The following is a 16,433-nucleotide window of genomic DNA, read 5'->3' as shown; positions in this document are numbered from 1 at the left end:
ATGCAAATTACTTGGCAACATTTTTCTCTTGCCTCTATAAAAACATACTATATAAATAAGCAAAATATCCTATACAATACTAATATGCATAGGGTTTGTTTTTTCTTTCAGAAAATAGAACTAATATTCTCCTGACTTCACATTCAGTACCCAGAAAGCAACTACTATGAGAACTAGAGTAAGAAATCTGAACTAAAATATAAGGTAGTCCCCATTTAATTGTGTCACAAAGAAAAACTTAGAAGATAAAAAAAACTTAAGAATTCAGAAGTCAATTGCTAAGAAGAAAATCAAAAGATACCACCATTTTTTATTTATGTTAATTTGCAAATTCTAATATAAACACCTATTGGCAAATAATAAGCCAAATTTTACTTGTTCAGTTTCAAGTATATATAGAGAAGCTTTACAGTCTTATATTTATTCATATTATGCAATAACATTTTACCTAATCTCCTTTAAGGAGAAAAATATCTAAATACTATAGAAGCCAGGAGACTTATATAAACAACATAAACCAAATATAAAATTTTAAAAACACCTACTTTAATCACATTCCCTAAAAATATATAATCAAAATAATTTTTAACATTTTCCAACCTTTACAAATAAGTAGCTTTAAAAATGTTATAAACAGCCAGGCATGGTGGCTCACGCCTATAATCCCAGCACTTTGAGAGGCCAAGGTGGGCAGATCAGCTGAGGCCGGGAGTTCAATACCAGCCTGGTCAACATGGCAAAACCCGTTCTCTACCAGAACTACAAAAATTAGCCAGGTGTGGTGGCATGTGCCTGTAATCCCAACTACCCAGGAGGCTGAGGCGGAACAATCACTTGAACCCAGGAGGCAGAGGTTGCAGTGAGCCAAGATCGTACCACTACACTCCAGCCTGGGCAACAGAGTGAGACTCTGTCTCAAAAAAAAAAAAAAATTATAGCATATTCATTATCAATGACATTAAAGTTCATATTGCAACAGATTTTGCTATCCCGTCTGCTTACATCAAACATCCACTTACATTTGACGCTTAATATACTCTTTAAGCAATGCTTCTTCCACAGGATACACCTGTACACCTGTACCATCATCATAGTAATACATCATACTGGTATTAAGTTCTGTTTGAAATGGTTGATCAGTCCTTTCACCATGTTCTTGATAACCATATGAATAATCAAAGTTCACTTGATGTGAATAAAGAAAAAGAAAGGTAATCACATATTAGAAAAAAATAGTTACTACGGATAAAGTGAAGAACTTCAAAGGTTAACAAACATAAAACCATCTATTATCAGACAAAGAAAATTAGTTAAAACATAATAGAGGATAGTTGCTCTATTTTTTTCAAAGTTTATCTAATTTAACGAAACAAAAATTATGTCATACATCGAGGATTTCCTCTGCCTCGTCCTCTTCCCCGTCCTCGGCCTCTTCCTCGACCTCTAAAGGAACCTCGGATATTACCACCCTCACTTCTCACACTGGAAACGTCATCTTGATCATCCCTTTTTTCTCTATCTCGCTTCCAACCTTTTAAAAATAAAAATATTTTTATATACTTCGATTTGCCAAGTAAAATAACATGATTGTCTTTATGAAAACATAATAGCCACCTTCTTCCACTTTGTAACTAATGAACAGTAGCCAGGCATTTTTCAGATGGATACAAACTGAAGAGATCCAATAAGAATTTATCAAAAATATCTCTAGCATAAAACAGAGCCTAAAAGGTACTGACACATGAAGAATACATTCTAACAAGTAAAATAACATACTAGAAAGGTAAAGAGATAGTTTTATTAAGATTGTGCTGTTAAAGATTCAAGAAGTTCCAAGACTACTAAGTTTGTACTACATAAAACTGCTAAAAAACATTTCTCACGAAATATTTAAGGATGGTTCTATTTAAGTAAATGACATTCCTTATAAAGTAAAAAGGAAATGAAAACACAAAACAAATTGAGAAAAGATATCTGAAGCGAAATATAGAAATTCTATCTAGAGTACATGTAAGAACTCATACGACTCTCTCTCATGCAACACACACAGACACAACCACTCAATGGGAAAAATATCTAAAATACAAGCAAGGTAAAAAAATGCAAGTGGACAATAAATACAGAAAACGGTGCCTACCAATGGGTCAATAATCATACAAGGCCGGGCGCGGTGGCTCAGGCCGGCAATCCCAGCACTTTGGGAGGCCAAGGGGGGCGGATCAACTGAGGTCAGAAGCTGGAGACCAGCCTGGCTGACATACTGAAATACCGCCTCTACTAAAAATACAAAAATTATCCGGGTGCCATAGCACACACCTGTAATCCCAGCTACTCGGGAGGCTGAAGGAGGAGAATCACTTGAACTCGGGAGGCAGGGGTTGCATTGAGCCAAGATTGCACCACTGCACTCCAGCCTGGGCTACAGAGCGAGATTCCCTCTCCAAAAAAAAAAAAAAAGAGGCCCGGTGTGGTGGCTCACACTTGTAATACCAGCACTTTGGTAGGCTGAGACAGGCAAATTGCTTGAACTCAGGAGTTCAAGACCAGCCTGGGAAACATGGCGAAACCCTGCCTCTACCAAAAATACAAAAAATTAGCCAGGCGTGGTGGTGGAGTGCCTGTAATCCCAGCTACTCAGTAGGCTGAGGCAGAAAAATTGTTTGAACCTGGGAGGCGGAGGTTGCAGTGAGCCAAGACCCTGCCACTGCACTCCAGCCTGGGCATAGAACAAGACTCCGTCTCAGAATAAAAAAAAAAGAAAAACGAAAACAGTGTTCAGCCTTATGGACTGTAAGAAATGCAAATTAAGACAATGAAAGGCTCTTTACCCCAGTACAACAAATATTTTAATGTCTCTAATATGAAATGTTGACAAAGTTTAAAAAGGTAGAACATTAGCCGGGTGCGGTGGCTCACACCTGTAATCCCAGCACTTTGGGAGGCTGAGGTGGGTGGATCACTTGAGGTCAGGAGTTCGAGACCAGCCTGGCCGACATGGCAAAACCCCATCTCTACTAAAAATACAAAAATTAGCCAGACATAGTGGTGGGCGCCGGTAATCCCAGCTACTCGGGAGGCTAGGGCAGGAGAATCACCTGAACCTGGGAGGCAGAGGTTGCAGTGAGCCGAGACCTCGCCACTGCACTCTAGCCTAGGTAACAGAGTGAGATTCTGTCTCAAAAAACAGGTAGAACATTCATATATTGCTAATGAGGTTGAAAATAGGTATATCTACTTTGAAAATCAACTTGGAATAATCTAATTAATGTGAAGATATGCAAATCCTAGAGACAAGGTTTTACAACCTTAGCACTTTAGACTCTGGTGTGGGGGCCTGTTCTGTGGACTACAGGATGTTTGGCATCATCCATGACCACCACCCACTAGATGCCAGTAGCACCCACTCACTCCCTCAGTTGTGACAACCAGTAACAAATATCTCCAGACAATGCCAAATGACTCTTTGGGGAAAAAAAAATCACCCTCACTGAGAACATTACCCTAGATCCCATAGTTCCATCCTCAATGCTTAGACCTAAAACAGTCTTTTTCAAACATTTCCTTTTTTTTAACAGAGATGAGTTCTCACTATGTTGCCCAGGCTGGTCTCAAACTCCTGAGCTCAAGCGATCCACCCACCTCCCCCTCCCAGATCAAGCCACCTCCCGCTCCCAAAGTGTTGGGATTACAGGTGTGCACCACTGCGTCCAGCCACTTTTTCAAACATTTCTGCCTTAATCTGTAAGTAAGCCTTATTTATTTTACATACAAGTACACTTACAAAAAATTTTATAAACACATATCATTTAAAAATTTACTATGTGAAGCACTCTAGGTTTTTAAAAACCTGATCATGAACCAATATACTGATTTCATAACCCACTCACAGAGTGTAGTCTGCAGTCTGAAAAAATTACCATAGAGAGCCTCTTGTACTTGTGTGCTGGAAAACATGCATTAAAATGTTCGTGGTAGTACCTTAATATCAAAAAAACTGGAAACAATCCAAATACCCACCGTTAGTACAGATTTTATCAAATAGTGAAACAGCCTTTCAGCAGGAAAAGACTTACAGTAATACAACCAACATGCATTAATCTAAAGAAAAGTAGGCTGAATTAAAAAAACAAAAATTCCTGCCAAAGAATGTTGATAAAGTCACATTGCATGGCGATTTCAAAACATGAAAGAAACCAATGCACTTAAGCTCATTTTTTCCGAGACAATGGGATGAAATTGCAGAGTGCACAAAGCGAAGTTTAAAAGTAATAGTAACATACATTTCTTAAACAGGGTGAGTTTCCACTGTTCATCATCATCATCATCATTATTATTGATTTTAGAGATGGGGTCTCACTCTGTCACCCAGGCTGCAGTGGCATGATCATAGCTCACTGCAGCCTGGAACTCTTGGGCTCTCAAGCAATCCTCCTTACCTCAGCCTACCAAGTAGCTGGGACTACAGGTGAGTGCCACCATACTCAGCTCATTATATTGTTGTTCTGTATAACTTTGTCTATTTTCTTATATATTCAATATTTAATAAGAAAAAAATTAATGAAATTATGAGAATCCATTACTTTTAGAATAAAAACTTAAAATGACATTTTGAAAAACAATAGAAAAAAAGTCAATTTTTCTATAGACAAGTTTTATACATATGCATATATATATATATGCTCCCCCCCACACATGTATGATCATTGTGCACTACAGCCCCAAATTCGCAGGCTCAAGCAATCCTCCTGCCTCAACCTCCCAAGTAGCTGGGACTACAGGCTTGCACCACTGCATTTAGCTAAAGTTTTATAATTTAAAAGTCATATTTTGTGGACAATTGAGAAAAATTAACTATTGACTAGATTTTAGATGGTACTAGGAAACTAGTGTGATTTTCTTAGATGATGCATTTTCTTAGGACATTAGTGATAAAGCGTCAACATCTCCAAGTTACTTTCAAGGGATTCAGCAGATGAATGAATTAAATACAGAGAAATTATTAATCTAGATGGTGGCTAGACAGGTATTCACTGAACAATTCTTTCAATTTTTTGTATGTTTAAAGTTTTTCATAATATATTGGAAATTTTTTTAATCAAAATACATTTACCTCTACATAGGTATATTTAAAATTTTTGAATGCTAATATTAAGTCTGTAAAATTTCCTTAGGCCTTCTTATCCATTCACAGGACATGACTTATCAGATTTCAGCAGAAAACTATAAAAACAAATGCTCATCCTATTGTTTCCACATATCCTATCCTCTGCTTTCTGAAAATCTGAGCAATCCCTGTGAAAAAATGTATCTGGGCCGGATGCGGTGGATCGCACCTGTAATCCTAGCACTTTGGGAGGCCAAGGGAGGCAGATCACTTGAGGTCAGGAGTTCGTGACCAGCCTGGCCCAAAATGGTGAAACCCTGCCTCTACTAAAACCACAAAAATTAGCCAGACATGGTGGCCCATGTCTGTAATCCCAGCTACTCGGGAGGCTGAGGCAGGAGAACCCAGCCTGGGCAATAGTGCGAGACTCTGTCTCAAGACAAAAAAAAAGTATCTGGCCAATGATTTTAATGAAAGTAAAACCATTCAGTAAAGACTAATGGGCCAGGGTGCAGTGGCTCATACCTGTAATCCCAGCACTTTGGAAGGCAGTGAGCCAAAATCGCGCCACTGCACTCCAGCCTGGGTGACAGAGTGAGGCTTTGTCTCAAAAAAAAAGACTAATGGAATAATTTATAATGGACTGATCAACCTAACACCTGAGCTAACTCAATATTAACACAACTGAAAGTGAAATACACACAGCAGTATTCCAAGCAAAAAAATAAGCCTGAATCTAATCAACCTAGCTCCTTCTTATTGCCAGTTATAAAAAGAAAAGACAAAAGGAACAGGCAGGCCAGGTACAGTGGCTCTCACACCTCTAATCCCAGCACTTTGGGAGGCTGATGCTGGAAGATCGCTTGGGCCCAAGAGTTTGAGACCAGCCTGGGCAACATGGGGAAACCCCATCTCTACAAAAAAATACAAAATTAGCCAGGTACTGTTGTGCATGCCTGTAGTCCCAGCTACTGAGGAGGCTAAGACAGGAGAATCGCTTGAGCCTAGGAAGTGAAGGTTGCAGTGAGCCGAGATCATGCCATTGCACTTAGCCTGGAAGACAGAGTGAGACCCTGTCTCAAAAAAAGGAACATGCAAATGCCAAAGAATACTATGACAAAGCGGCTGGGCGAGGTGGCTCACGCCTGTAATCCTAGCACTTTGGGAGGCCAAAGAGGGTGGATCATGAGGTCAGGAGATCAAGACCATCCTGGCTAATGTGGTGAAACTCCCTCTCTACTAAAAACTACAAAAAAAATAGCCGGGCGTGCTGGCAGGTGCTTGTAGTCCCAGCTACTCAGTGGGTGAATGGCGTGAACCAGGGAGGCGGAACTTGCAGCGAGCCGAGATCGCGCCACTGCACTCCAGCCTGGGCGACAGAGCGAGACTCAGTCTCAAAAAAAAAAAAAAAAAAAAAAGAATACCATGACAAAGCAATCAGCCAAATCCAAAATACAGGAATTCCACTAGACATGGGACTTAACACATAGCAAAAAGAAAAAAAGTTGCTGATGGAAATGTAAAATGCTACAAGTAGCAGTTTCTTATAATGTTAAATATACAGCTACTATATGACCAATCAATTCACTCACAGGCATTTGAGAAATACATACATTCCACACAAAGACTTGTAAACAACTATTCATCAGCGTTATTCATGAAGACCAAAAACTATAAACAAGCCACTTATCCATCAACAGATGAAAAGACAAAGGGCTATATGCATTCAACAGAATATTATTTGGCAATAAAGAGGGAGAAGCTAAGTGCGGTGGCTCATGCTTGTAATCCCAACACTTCGGGAGGCCGAGGCAGGAGAATCGCTTGAGGCTAGGAGTTCAAGACCAGCCCGGGCAACGAAGCAAGACTGTCTCTAAAGAAAACTTTTTTTTTAATTAGCCGGGCATGGTGGCACGCACCTGTCATCATAGCTACTTGGGAAGCTGAGGTGGGAGGATCGCTTGAGCCCAAGAGTTCAAGACTGCAGTGAGCTATGACTGTCCCACTGCACTCCAGCCTGGGCAACAGAATGAGACCCCATCACTTATTTAAAAAAAAAAAAAAAAAAAAAAAAGGAAGCTAAGGCTTGTTTGAAAAGTCTGAGAAAATTATTATCTCCACAGTCTCAAAGCCTCTCTCCACAAATTACACAGTAATTACAAAGGGAGAAAAGAAATTAAACAAAAAAGCTGAAGAAACTTAAAAATTTTTTAAAAGTCTAGAGTACACTACCTCAACCAAGTAATCAAGGTTAATAATCATTGTGGCCAGTCGCAGTGGCTCAAGCCTATAACCCAGCACTTTGGGACATCGAGGTGGGTGGATCACCTGAGGTCAAGAGTTCGAGCCCAGCCTGACCAATATGGTGAAACCCCATCTCTACTAAAAATTTAAAAATTAGCCGGGTGTGGTGGCATGTGCCTGTAGTCCCAGCTACTTGGGAGGCTGAAACAGAAGAATTGCTTGAACCCGGGAGGCAGAGGTTGCAGTGAGCCCAGATCACACGCCACTGCACTCCAACCTGGGCAACAGAACGAGACTCCATCTCAAACAAAAAACAAATAATAATAATAATAATCAATGTTGTAATCAAACTAATAATCAAATAAAGTTACAGGGGTAATCAAAGTTAATATTAATCAATGTTGTAATCAAACTAATAATCAAAGTTACAGGGGTAATCAAAGTTAGTATCTTCAATAATGGGACAAATCAAGGTCATACTCCCATGTGATTCGCTAAGAAGAAAATGATAGAATAAATTCCGCTCTCCCTCTCCCTCTCCCTCTCCCCCTCCCCTCTCCCCTCTCCCTCTCGGTCTCCCTCTGATGCCGAGCCGAAGCTGGACTGTACTGCTGCCATCTCGGCTCACTGCAACCTCCCTGCCTGATTCTCCTGCCTCAGCCTGCCGAGTGCCTGCGATTGCAGGCGCGCGCCACCACGCCTGACTGGTTTTCGTACTTTTTTGGTGGAGACGGGGTTTCGCTGTGCTGGCCGGGCTGGTCTCCAGCTCCTAACCGCGAGTGATCCGCCAGCCTCGGCCTCCCGGAGGTGCCGGGATTGCAGACGGAGTCTGGTTCACTCAGTGCTCAATGGTGCCCAGGCTGGAGTGCAGTGGCGTGATCTCAGCTCGCTACAACCTCCATCTCCCAGCCGCCTGCCTTGGCCTCCCAAAGTGCCGAGATTGCAGCCTCTGCCCGGCCGCCACCCCGTCTGGGAAGTGAGGAGCATCTCTGCCTGGCCGCCCATTGTCTGGGACGTGAGGAGCCCCTCTGCCTGGCTGCCCAGTCTGGAAAGTGAGAAGCGTCTCTGCCGGCCGCCATCCCATCTAGGAAGTGAGGAGCGCCTCTTCCCGGCAACCATCCCATCTGGGAAGTGAGGAGCGTCTCTGCCCGGCCGCCCATCGTCTGAGATGTGGGGAGCACCTCTGCCCAGCCACCCCGTCTGAGAAGTGAGGAGACCCTCCGCCCAGCAACCGCCCCGTCTGAGAAGTGAGGAGCCCCTCCACCCGGCAGCCGCCCCGTCTGAGAAGTGAGGAGCCCCTCTGCCCGGCAGCCACCCCGTCTGGGAAGTGAGGAGCGTCTCCGCCCGGCAGCCGCCCCGTCCGGGAGGGAGGTGGGGGGGTCAGCCCCCCGCCCGGCCAGCCGCCCCGTCCAGGAGGTGAGGGGCGCCTCTGCCCAGCCGCCCCTACTGGGAAGTGAGGAGCCCCTCTGCCGGGCCAGCCACCCTGTCCGGGAGGGAGGTGGGGGGGCTCAGCCCCCCCACCTGGCCAGCCGCCCCGTCCGGGAGGGAGGTGGGGGGGTCAGCACCCCGCCCGGCCAGCCGCCCCGTCTGGGAGGGAGGTGGGGGGGTCAGCCCCCTGCCCGCCAGCCGCCCCGTCCGGGAGGTGAGGGGCGCCTCTGCCCGGCCGCCCCTACTGGGAAGTGAGGCGCCCCTCTGCCTGGCCAGCCTCTCCGTCCGGGAGGGAGGTGGGGGGGGTCAGCCCCCTGCCCGGCCAGCCGCCCCGTCCGGGAGGTGAGGGGCGCCTCTGCCCAGCCGCCCCTACTGGGAGGTGAGGAGCCCCTCTGCCCGGCCACCACCCCGTCTGGGAGGTGTACCCAACAGCTCATTGAGAACGGGCCAGGATGACAATGGCGGTTTTGTGGAATAGAAAGGGGGGAAAGGTGGGGAAAAGATTGAGAAATCGGATGGTTGCCGTGTCTGTGTGGAAAGTAGTAGACATGGGAGACTTTTCATTTTGTTCTGTACTAAGATAAATTCTTCTGCCTTGGGATCCTGTTGATCTATGACCTTACCCCCAACCCTGTGCTCTCTGAAACATGTGCTGTGTCCACTCAGGGTTAAATGGATTAAGGGCGGTGCAAGATGTGTTTTGTTAAACAGATGCTTGAAGGCAGCATGCTCGTTAAGAATCATCACCACTCCCTAATCTCAAGTACCCAGGGACACAAACACTGCGGAAGGCCGCAGGGTCCTCTGCCTAGGAAAACCAGAGACCTTTGTTCACTTGTTTATCTGCCGACCTTCCCTCCACTATTGTCCTATGACCCTGCCAAATCCCCCTCTGCGAGAAACACCCAAGAATGATCAATAAAAAAAATAAAAATTAAAAAAAAAAAAAAAGAAGAAAATGATATATTTTCTTATACAGTACTCCTGCCAAAAATTCACAACCCCAATCCAATCATAAGGAAACATTAGAAAACCCAAAGTAAGGGATATCTACAATACGATTATCCTACAATCTTCAAAAAAATCAATGTCATGAAAGACAAAAGCAAGAACTGTTACAGATTAATGGAGCCTAAAGAGAAAAAAAAAATTAAATTAAATGGGTGATCCCAGAATGGATCCTTGGAGCAGGGGAGGGGACGACTATAAAGGACTTTATTGAGAAAAATCTGCCTGTGGACAATCACATTGTATTAATGTTAAGTTTCATTGTTGTTAATTGCATTACGGTTATATTGTTCTTATGAAATATACCCTGAAGGTATTTGGGGTTAAAGGGACATGATGTCTTCAACTTATTCTCAAATGGTTTATACATGTGGTTACTAAAATAACGAGCATTAAGACTAAGTCTTTCCTTAGTCATTTTTGTCTTAGAATGGTAACTTACTTCGTGTATCATTTCTCCTATTGTTATGTGTTGGTTTATTTGCTTCAGGTTGACATCTTGAGCTGTTCCGGGATCCAGGTCTTTCTTGACTCTCTGATCTTACAACATCTAAGTGGAGTGGTACCCACTTGTGCTTATTAGCTTGAAGAAAACAAAATCATTTAAGGACAAATGTACAATTTTCACTAAACCCTTGCAATTTGAAAGCACTCTGAACTTTAATCAAATAAGTGAAACACTTAATGTGTATTTTAAGATTATTTGTAAAGAGGCCAGACACGGTGGCTCATGCCTGTAATCCCAGCACTTTGGGAGGCCGCGGTGGGCGGATGACTTGAGGCCAGGAGTTCAAGACCAGCCTGACCAACATGGAGAAACCCTGTCTCTACTAAAAAACACAAAAATTAGCCAGGTGTGGTGGCACACGCCAGTAATCCCAGCTACTCGGGAGGCTGAGGCACGAGAATAGCTTGAGCCTGGGAAGCGGAGCTTGCAGTGAGCCGAGATCGTGCCATTGCACTCCAGCCTGGGTGATAGCTGGTTGTCCAAGATAGAATCTTAGTTCAACTTTAAATTTGCCTACAGAACCCCCAATCCCCTTGTAAATTTAACTGTTAGTCTAAAGAAGGACAGCTCTTTAGACACTAGGAAAAAACCTTGTAAAGAGAGTAAAAAGTACAATCCCCATAGTTGGCCTAAAAGCAGCCATCAAAGCGTTCAAGCTCGACGCCCAGCCGCCCAAAAATCCCAAACACACAACTGAACTCCTTACATCACATTGGACCAATCTGTCATTTCGTAGAAGAAACAATGTTAATATAAGTAACATGAAAACATTCTCCTCTGCATAAGCCTACCTCAGACCAAAATACTTCAATGACAATTAACAGTCCAATATCTATATCTCAAAAAAAAAAAAAAAAAAAAGGCCGGGCGCAGTGGCTCATGCCTGTAATCCTAGCACTTTGGGAGGCTGAAGCGGGCAGATAACCTAAGGTCAGGAGTTCAAAACCAGCCTGGCAAACATGGTGAAACCCCATCTCTACTAAAAATACAAAAATCAGCCAGGCATGGTGGCACATGCCTGTAGTCCCAGCTACTCGGGAAGCTGAGACAGGAGAATTCCTTAAACCCGGGAGGCAGAGGTTGCAGTGAGCCGAGATCGTGCCACTGCACTCTAGCCTGGGTGACAGAGACGAGAGTCTGTCTCAAAAAAAAAAAAAAAAAAGTATATATACATAACATTCCTGTTTAGTACTTGATTCTTAGGCTTTTTTAAAAAAAAATCTGTTTAATTTAAAATTCTTAGGCTTTAGAATGGGATATATCTGATAAAACGCTATAATGTATACTTTGGAAAGTTAGGCTTTAGGTTTGCAGCACTTTTAGTTCCACATCACTGCCTAAAATATTAATTTACCCAGGATTTTTACAAATGAATGAGGTTTCTCAAAATATAAGAGGGAAGAGGGATAAGTATAAAATTTGTTTAACTTGACAGAACATTTTACAGCTATTATGCATCTTCCTAAGGAAAAAAAAACACAAGCAGTTTAACTTTTCTTGATGACTAAATGACAATGTAACTAATTATTTATGGTTATTCTATAGTGAAATTCTGAAGATCATCTATTCATGAATGCCATAGCTCAGGTTTCAAAATGTTCAGTATTCTGCCCAATCTAAATTTTCTACCAAAATAAAGACTCATGGCAATGAAAAAACTGCCAAGGCAATTTAAAAATAAATATTAGTGTGCAACTACAATATTGATATCCTATAAATCCTGCAAACTATGGATCAAATGAGGAAAAGTGAATATAAATGCATCTAAAAAGGCTTTTAATCTTATACTATAAATTATGTCAACGAGATTCCTTGACACAAAGAAGCCCTTCTTTTAAAGTCAAAAATCTGTACTCTAGATCAATTAAAAGCTTGATTATACCAATTGTTCTAACTACAAAACACCTGGGTTTTACTGTTGACTGACCAGTTTTAATTGAAGCAATTAAAGACAAATTGCCAGGCGTGGTGGCTCACGCCTGTAATCCCAGCACTTTGGGAAGCCAAGGCGGGCAGATCACCTGAGGTTGGGAGCTCGAGACCACCCTGACCAACATGGAGAAACCCGTCTCTACTAAAAAAAAAAAATACAAAATTAGCTGGGTGTGGTGCCTGTAATCCCAGCTGCTTGGGAGGCTGAGGCAGGAGAATCGCTTCAACCCAGGAGGCAGAGGTTGCAGTGAGCTGGAGATCGCGCCATTGCACTCCAGCGTGGCAACAAGAGCGAAACTCCATCTCAAAAAAAAAAAAAAAGACAAATTTTAGATCAGGATAACAAATCTGTCATCTGTATGGATTCTAGACAGTCAAGAACACTACTTACGTATGTAGGAAGCAGGGAACAGTTAAGTGACGAAGTAGTTAAGAAATGAGGAGGCCAGGCATGGTGGCGCACACTTCTAATCCCAGCACTTTGGGAGGCTGAGGCAGATGGATCGCTTGAGCCCAGGAGTTCAAGACCAGCCTGGCCAACATGGCAAAACCCTGTCTCTACAAAAAAATACAAAAATTAGCCAGGCATGGTGGCACATGCCTGTAGTCCCAGCTACTCAGGAGGCTGAGGTGGGAGGATCACTTGAGCCCAGGTCATCGAGGCTGCAGTGGGCCACGAGCATGCCACTGAACTCCAGCCTGGGTGACAGAGCAAGACCCTGTTTCAAAATTTTAAAAACATTTTTAAATTTAAAAATTAAAAAAAAAGAAACAGGAAGAAATTTTTCTAACAACCACTTGTTTGTCTTGTTGTCACTGTTTTTGAGCAATTAGCCTTTATTCATTGTATCAAGTGAATATAATGCTCATCCTGCACTAAGGATTAGTTATTTATTAAAAAGACAAACTATTCGGCCAGGCCCGGTGGCTCATGCCTGTAATCCTAGCACTTTGGGAGGCCGAGGCAGGTGGATCGCCTGAGCTCAGGATTTCAAGACCAGCCTGGGCAACACAGTGAAACCCCGTCTCTACTAAAATACAAAAAGTTAGCTGGGCATGGTAGCATGGGCCTGTAATCCCAGCTACTCAGGAGGCTGAGGCAGAAGAATTCCTAGAACCCGGGAGGCAGAGGTTGCAGTGAGTCAAGACTGGGCCACTGCACTCCAGCCTGGGTGACAGAGCAAGACTCTGTCTCTTAAAAAAAAAAAAAAAAAAGACAAACTATTCAAGTAAGTGATCAGTCTACGGTAAAAGTTAAAGTGTTAAAGAAGTTGGCAACAACTTTACCATTAAATGTTCCCTCCCATGCCATATCACCTCCAGAGAATCTTGGTTCAATGGTTTCCCATGGTATTCAAAATGGAATCATAACTCCAAGGCCCTGTATACCATGGACGTTGTCTATCTATGTCTCTAACCTCACCTCCTGCTACTCTCCCAGAAAATCACCTTGCTTCAGTCACTGACAACTTAACAGTTTAAAGCCCTTTTCTGCCTAGAAGCGCCTGAAGACACTTTTACGAAGACTCCGAGCACTGATTTACAAAGCATGTAAATCATAAACTGTCCCTAGACACACGAAAAGTTCAGAAAAGAAAATGGAAAAGGATATGAAGACAATATTTTCATTCCTTCAAAGTGTAATTTTGACAGGGGAATGCTATGAGGGAAAAGATTGACTAAAATTATTCTCACTTTTTTTTTTTTTTGAGACAGTCTTGCACTGCCGCCCAGGCTGGAGTGCAATGGCGCGACCTCGGCTCACTGCAACCTCCACCTCCTGGGTTCAAGCAATTCTCCTGCCTCAGCCTCCCGAGTAGCTGGGACTACAAGTGCGCAACACGATGTTCGGCTAATTTTTTTGTGTATTTTTAGTGGAGACAGGGTTTCACCATGTCTCCTGACCTCAAGTGGTCCGCCTGCCTCAGCCTCCCAGAGTGCTAGGATTACAGGTGTGAGCCACTGCGCCCAGCCTATTCTCACTTTTCTCTTAGGAAAAAAATGTATTTAATTTTCACAGTACTCCCTAAATATAGGGAGCAGTTCCAATGCAGATCTAAAAGAACAATAATTATCACACAACTTTCCAAGAATGTATCTACAACTGTACCTCTAAGTGGAACTCCATTCCATTTTCTTGCATAGAATACAAGTTACATACAAAAAGGAAAGTCTAATAGTTCAGAAATGTTACAAAAGCAAATGAGTTACCTCTGCAGATTGTTTATCCTGAAGAAATACAAACTATACATTTTTGACTACCAGAGATCAGTTAATGAAATGTAATTCCTCATTACAACTTTCTTCAAAAACTAAAATCAAAATAAAGATATGGACAAACTGACCTCTCTTACGTTGATTACTTGACTGAGCCTCATCCTCACTGACGTTTTCACCAGGACCATTTAATTTTGTTTCCCGGTTTTCTTTGCTGTCACTGTTACTTCTCTTTTCAACCTTCTCTTCTTTTTCTTTTCTATTTTGTGGCTTTTTATTTCCTTGGCTGAGGACGCTCTGAAACTGCAAAAAGGTTTTCAGAATGAAATGATTTCCATTAATATTTTCACTAACATACCCAAAAATTTGTGGCAATATACCTAACCTAAAATTGCAAAACAAATGACAAAAACTGTTATCAAAGGCAAAAAATTACTTTTCAAAAGACAGTTAAAAGTAAAGCTGCAGACTAGGAGAAAGTATTTGCTAAGTATTTGATAAAGAACTTTTACCTCAAATACATATGAACTTTCAAAACTCAGTAACAACAAATCAATACCACTTTTTTTTTTTGCAGGGGCGGGGGCGGGAGGACAGAGTCTCACTTTGTTGCCCAGGCTGGAGTGCAGTGGCACGATCTCGGCTCACTGCAGCCTCCACCTCCTGGGTTCAAGCAATTATCCTGCCTCAGCCTCCCTAGTAGCTGGTATTACAGGCACATGTCACCACACCTGGCTAACTCTTTTTTTTTTTTAAGTAGAGAGGGGGTTTCGCCATGTTGGTCAGGCTGGTCTCGAACTCCTAACCCCAAATGATTCACCGTCCTCAGCCTCCCAAAGTGCTGCGATACACGCATGACCCATTGCACCCAGCCTTCCATTTTTTTAAATGGGCAGATTGATCACATACTTCATCAAAAAGATACACTGATGGCAAATCTATGAAAAGATTATTGCATTCATTCATCAGAAAAATGCAAATTAAAACTGCAATGGGATACCACTCCTCATTTATTAGAATGGCTAAAATATTTTTTGAAACTTGACCATATTATCGGTGAGTAAAGATGGGTTCGGTGGCTCACACCTGTAATCCTAGCACTTTGGGAAGCCAAGGCAGGTAGATCACTTGAGCTCAGGAGTTTGAGACCAGCCTGGGCACATGACGAAACCCCATCTCTACAAAAAATACAAAAAAATTAGCCAGGCGTGGTGGTGCATGCCTATAGTCGCAGCTACTTATGGGGCTGAGGTGGGGGGGTCACTTGAGCCCAGGAGGTCAAGACTGCAATGAGCTGAGATCATGCCACTGTACTCCAGCCTGGGTGACAAAGTGAGACCCGGTCTCACACACACACACAAAAAAGAGAGTGAGTGAAGATGTGGAGTAACTGGAATTCATGTACACTGCTGATAGAAGTGCAAACTCAGCAGTTTCTTAAAAAGCTAAAACAGGTAGCTACTAAGTGATCCAACCTAGTTACATATCCAAGAAAAAATGAAAAATTTTCTACACAAACGTTCATATAGCAGTTTTATTTGTATCAACCAAAACGTAAAATTAATCCAAATGTCCATTAACAATAGGTGAATGGACAAACTGTGTTACATCCATACTACTCAGTAAGAAAAAAGAATGAACTGCTGACACACAAGTAAATCTCAAAATAATGCTGAGTACAAGCCAGGAAAAAAAAGAGTACCTACTCAATGCTTCCACATATATAAAATTCTAGAAAATGCAAATCTCAAATATAAGATTACCTCTTAAGAATACAACGAGATGAGGCTGGGCGCAGTGGCTCACGCCTGTAATCCCAGCACTTTGGGAGGCCAAGGTGGGTGGATCACCTGAGGTCAGGAGTTCGAGACCAACATGGCGAAACCCTGTCTCTACTAAAAATACAAAAATTAGCCAGATGTGGTGGTGCGTGCCTGTAATACCAGCTACTCAGGAGGCTGAGGCAGGAGAATCACTTAAACCCGGGAGGCG

At 42.7% G+C, this 16,433-nt stretch overlaps 1 protein-coding gene across 53 annotated transcripts in view, besides 1 other annotated feature; it reads right to left on the bottom strand.

The window, feature by feature from the left end:
• LARP1B (La ribonucleoprotein 1B) overlaps positions 1-16,433 on the bottom strand; it is a 162,138-nt gene that overhangs the window by 130,395 nt on the left and 15,310 nt on the right. For 44 of the 53 annotated variants that reach the window (XR_938753.3, XR_938754.3, NR_146772.2 and 41 more), the window contains 4 exons: positions 14,570-14,744; positions 10,227-10,367; positions 1,388-1,531; positions 1,020-1,185 (listed from right to left, as the gene is read on the bottom strand). Coding sequence is in view for 46 of the 53 variants with exons in the window: in XM_017008340.2 (XP_016863829.1) it covers positions 1,020-1,185; positions 1,388-1,531; positions 10,227-10,367; positions 14,570-14,744 (626 nt within the window). In the remaining 7 variants the exon portion in view is untranslated. Of the gene's footprint in view, positions 1-1,019; positions 1,186-1,387; positions 1,532-10,226; positions 10,368-14,569; positions 14,745-16,433 lie in introns of those variants that run through there. The other 9 variants (XM_011532061.3, XM_011532065.3, XM_011532068.2 and 6 more) reach the window with 4 other exon arrangements.
• Positions 10,732-10,932: a silencer, noted in NCBI's record as "peak5106 fragment used in MPRA reporter construct". NCBI's record gives its function as "represses an SCP1 promoter by STARR-seq MPRAs in K562 erythroleukemia cells {active_cell/tissue: K562}" and the evidence as "EXISTENCE:reporter gene assay evidence [ECO:0000049][PMID:32103011]".

Source organism: Homo sapiens, chromosome 4, assembly GCF_000001405.40.
Source record: "Homo sapiens chromosome 4, GRCh38.p14 Primary Assembly".
Taxonomy (NCBI): Eukaryota; Metazoa; Chordata; class Mammalia; order Primates; family Hominidae; genus Homo; species Homo sapiens.
This window is presented reverse-complemented; position numbering and strand designations above follow the sequence as displayed.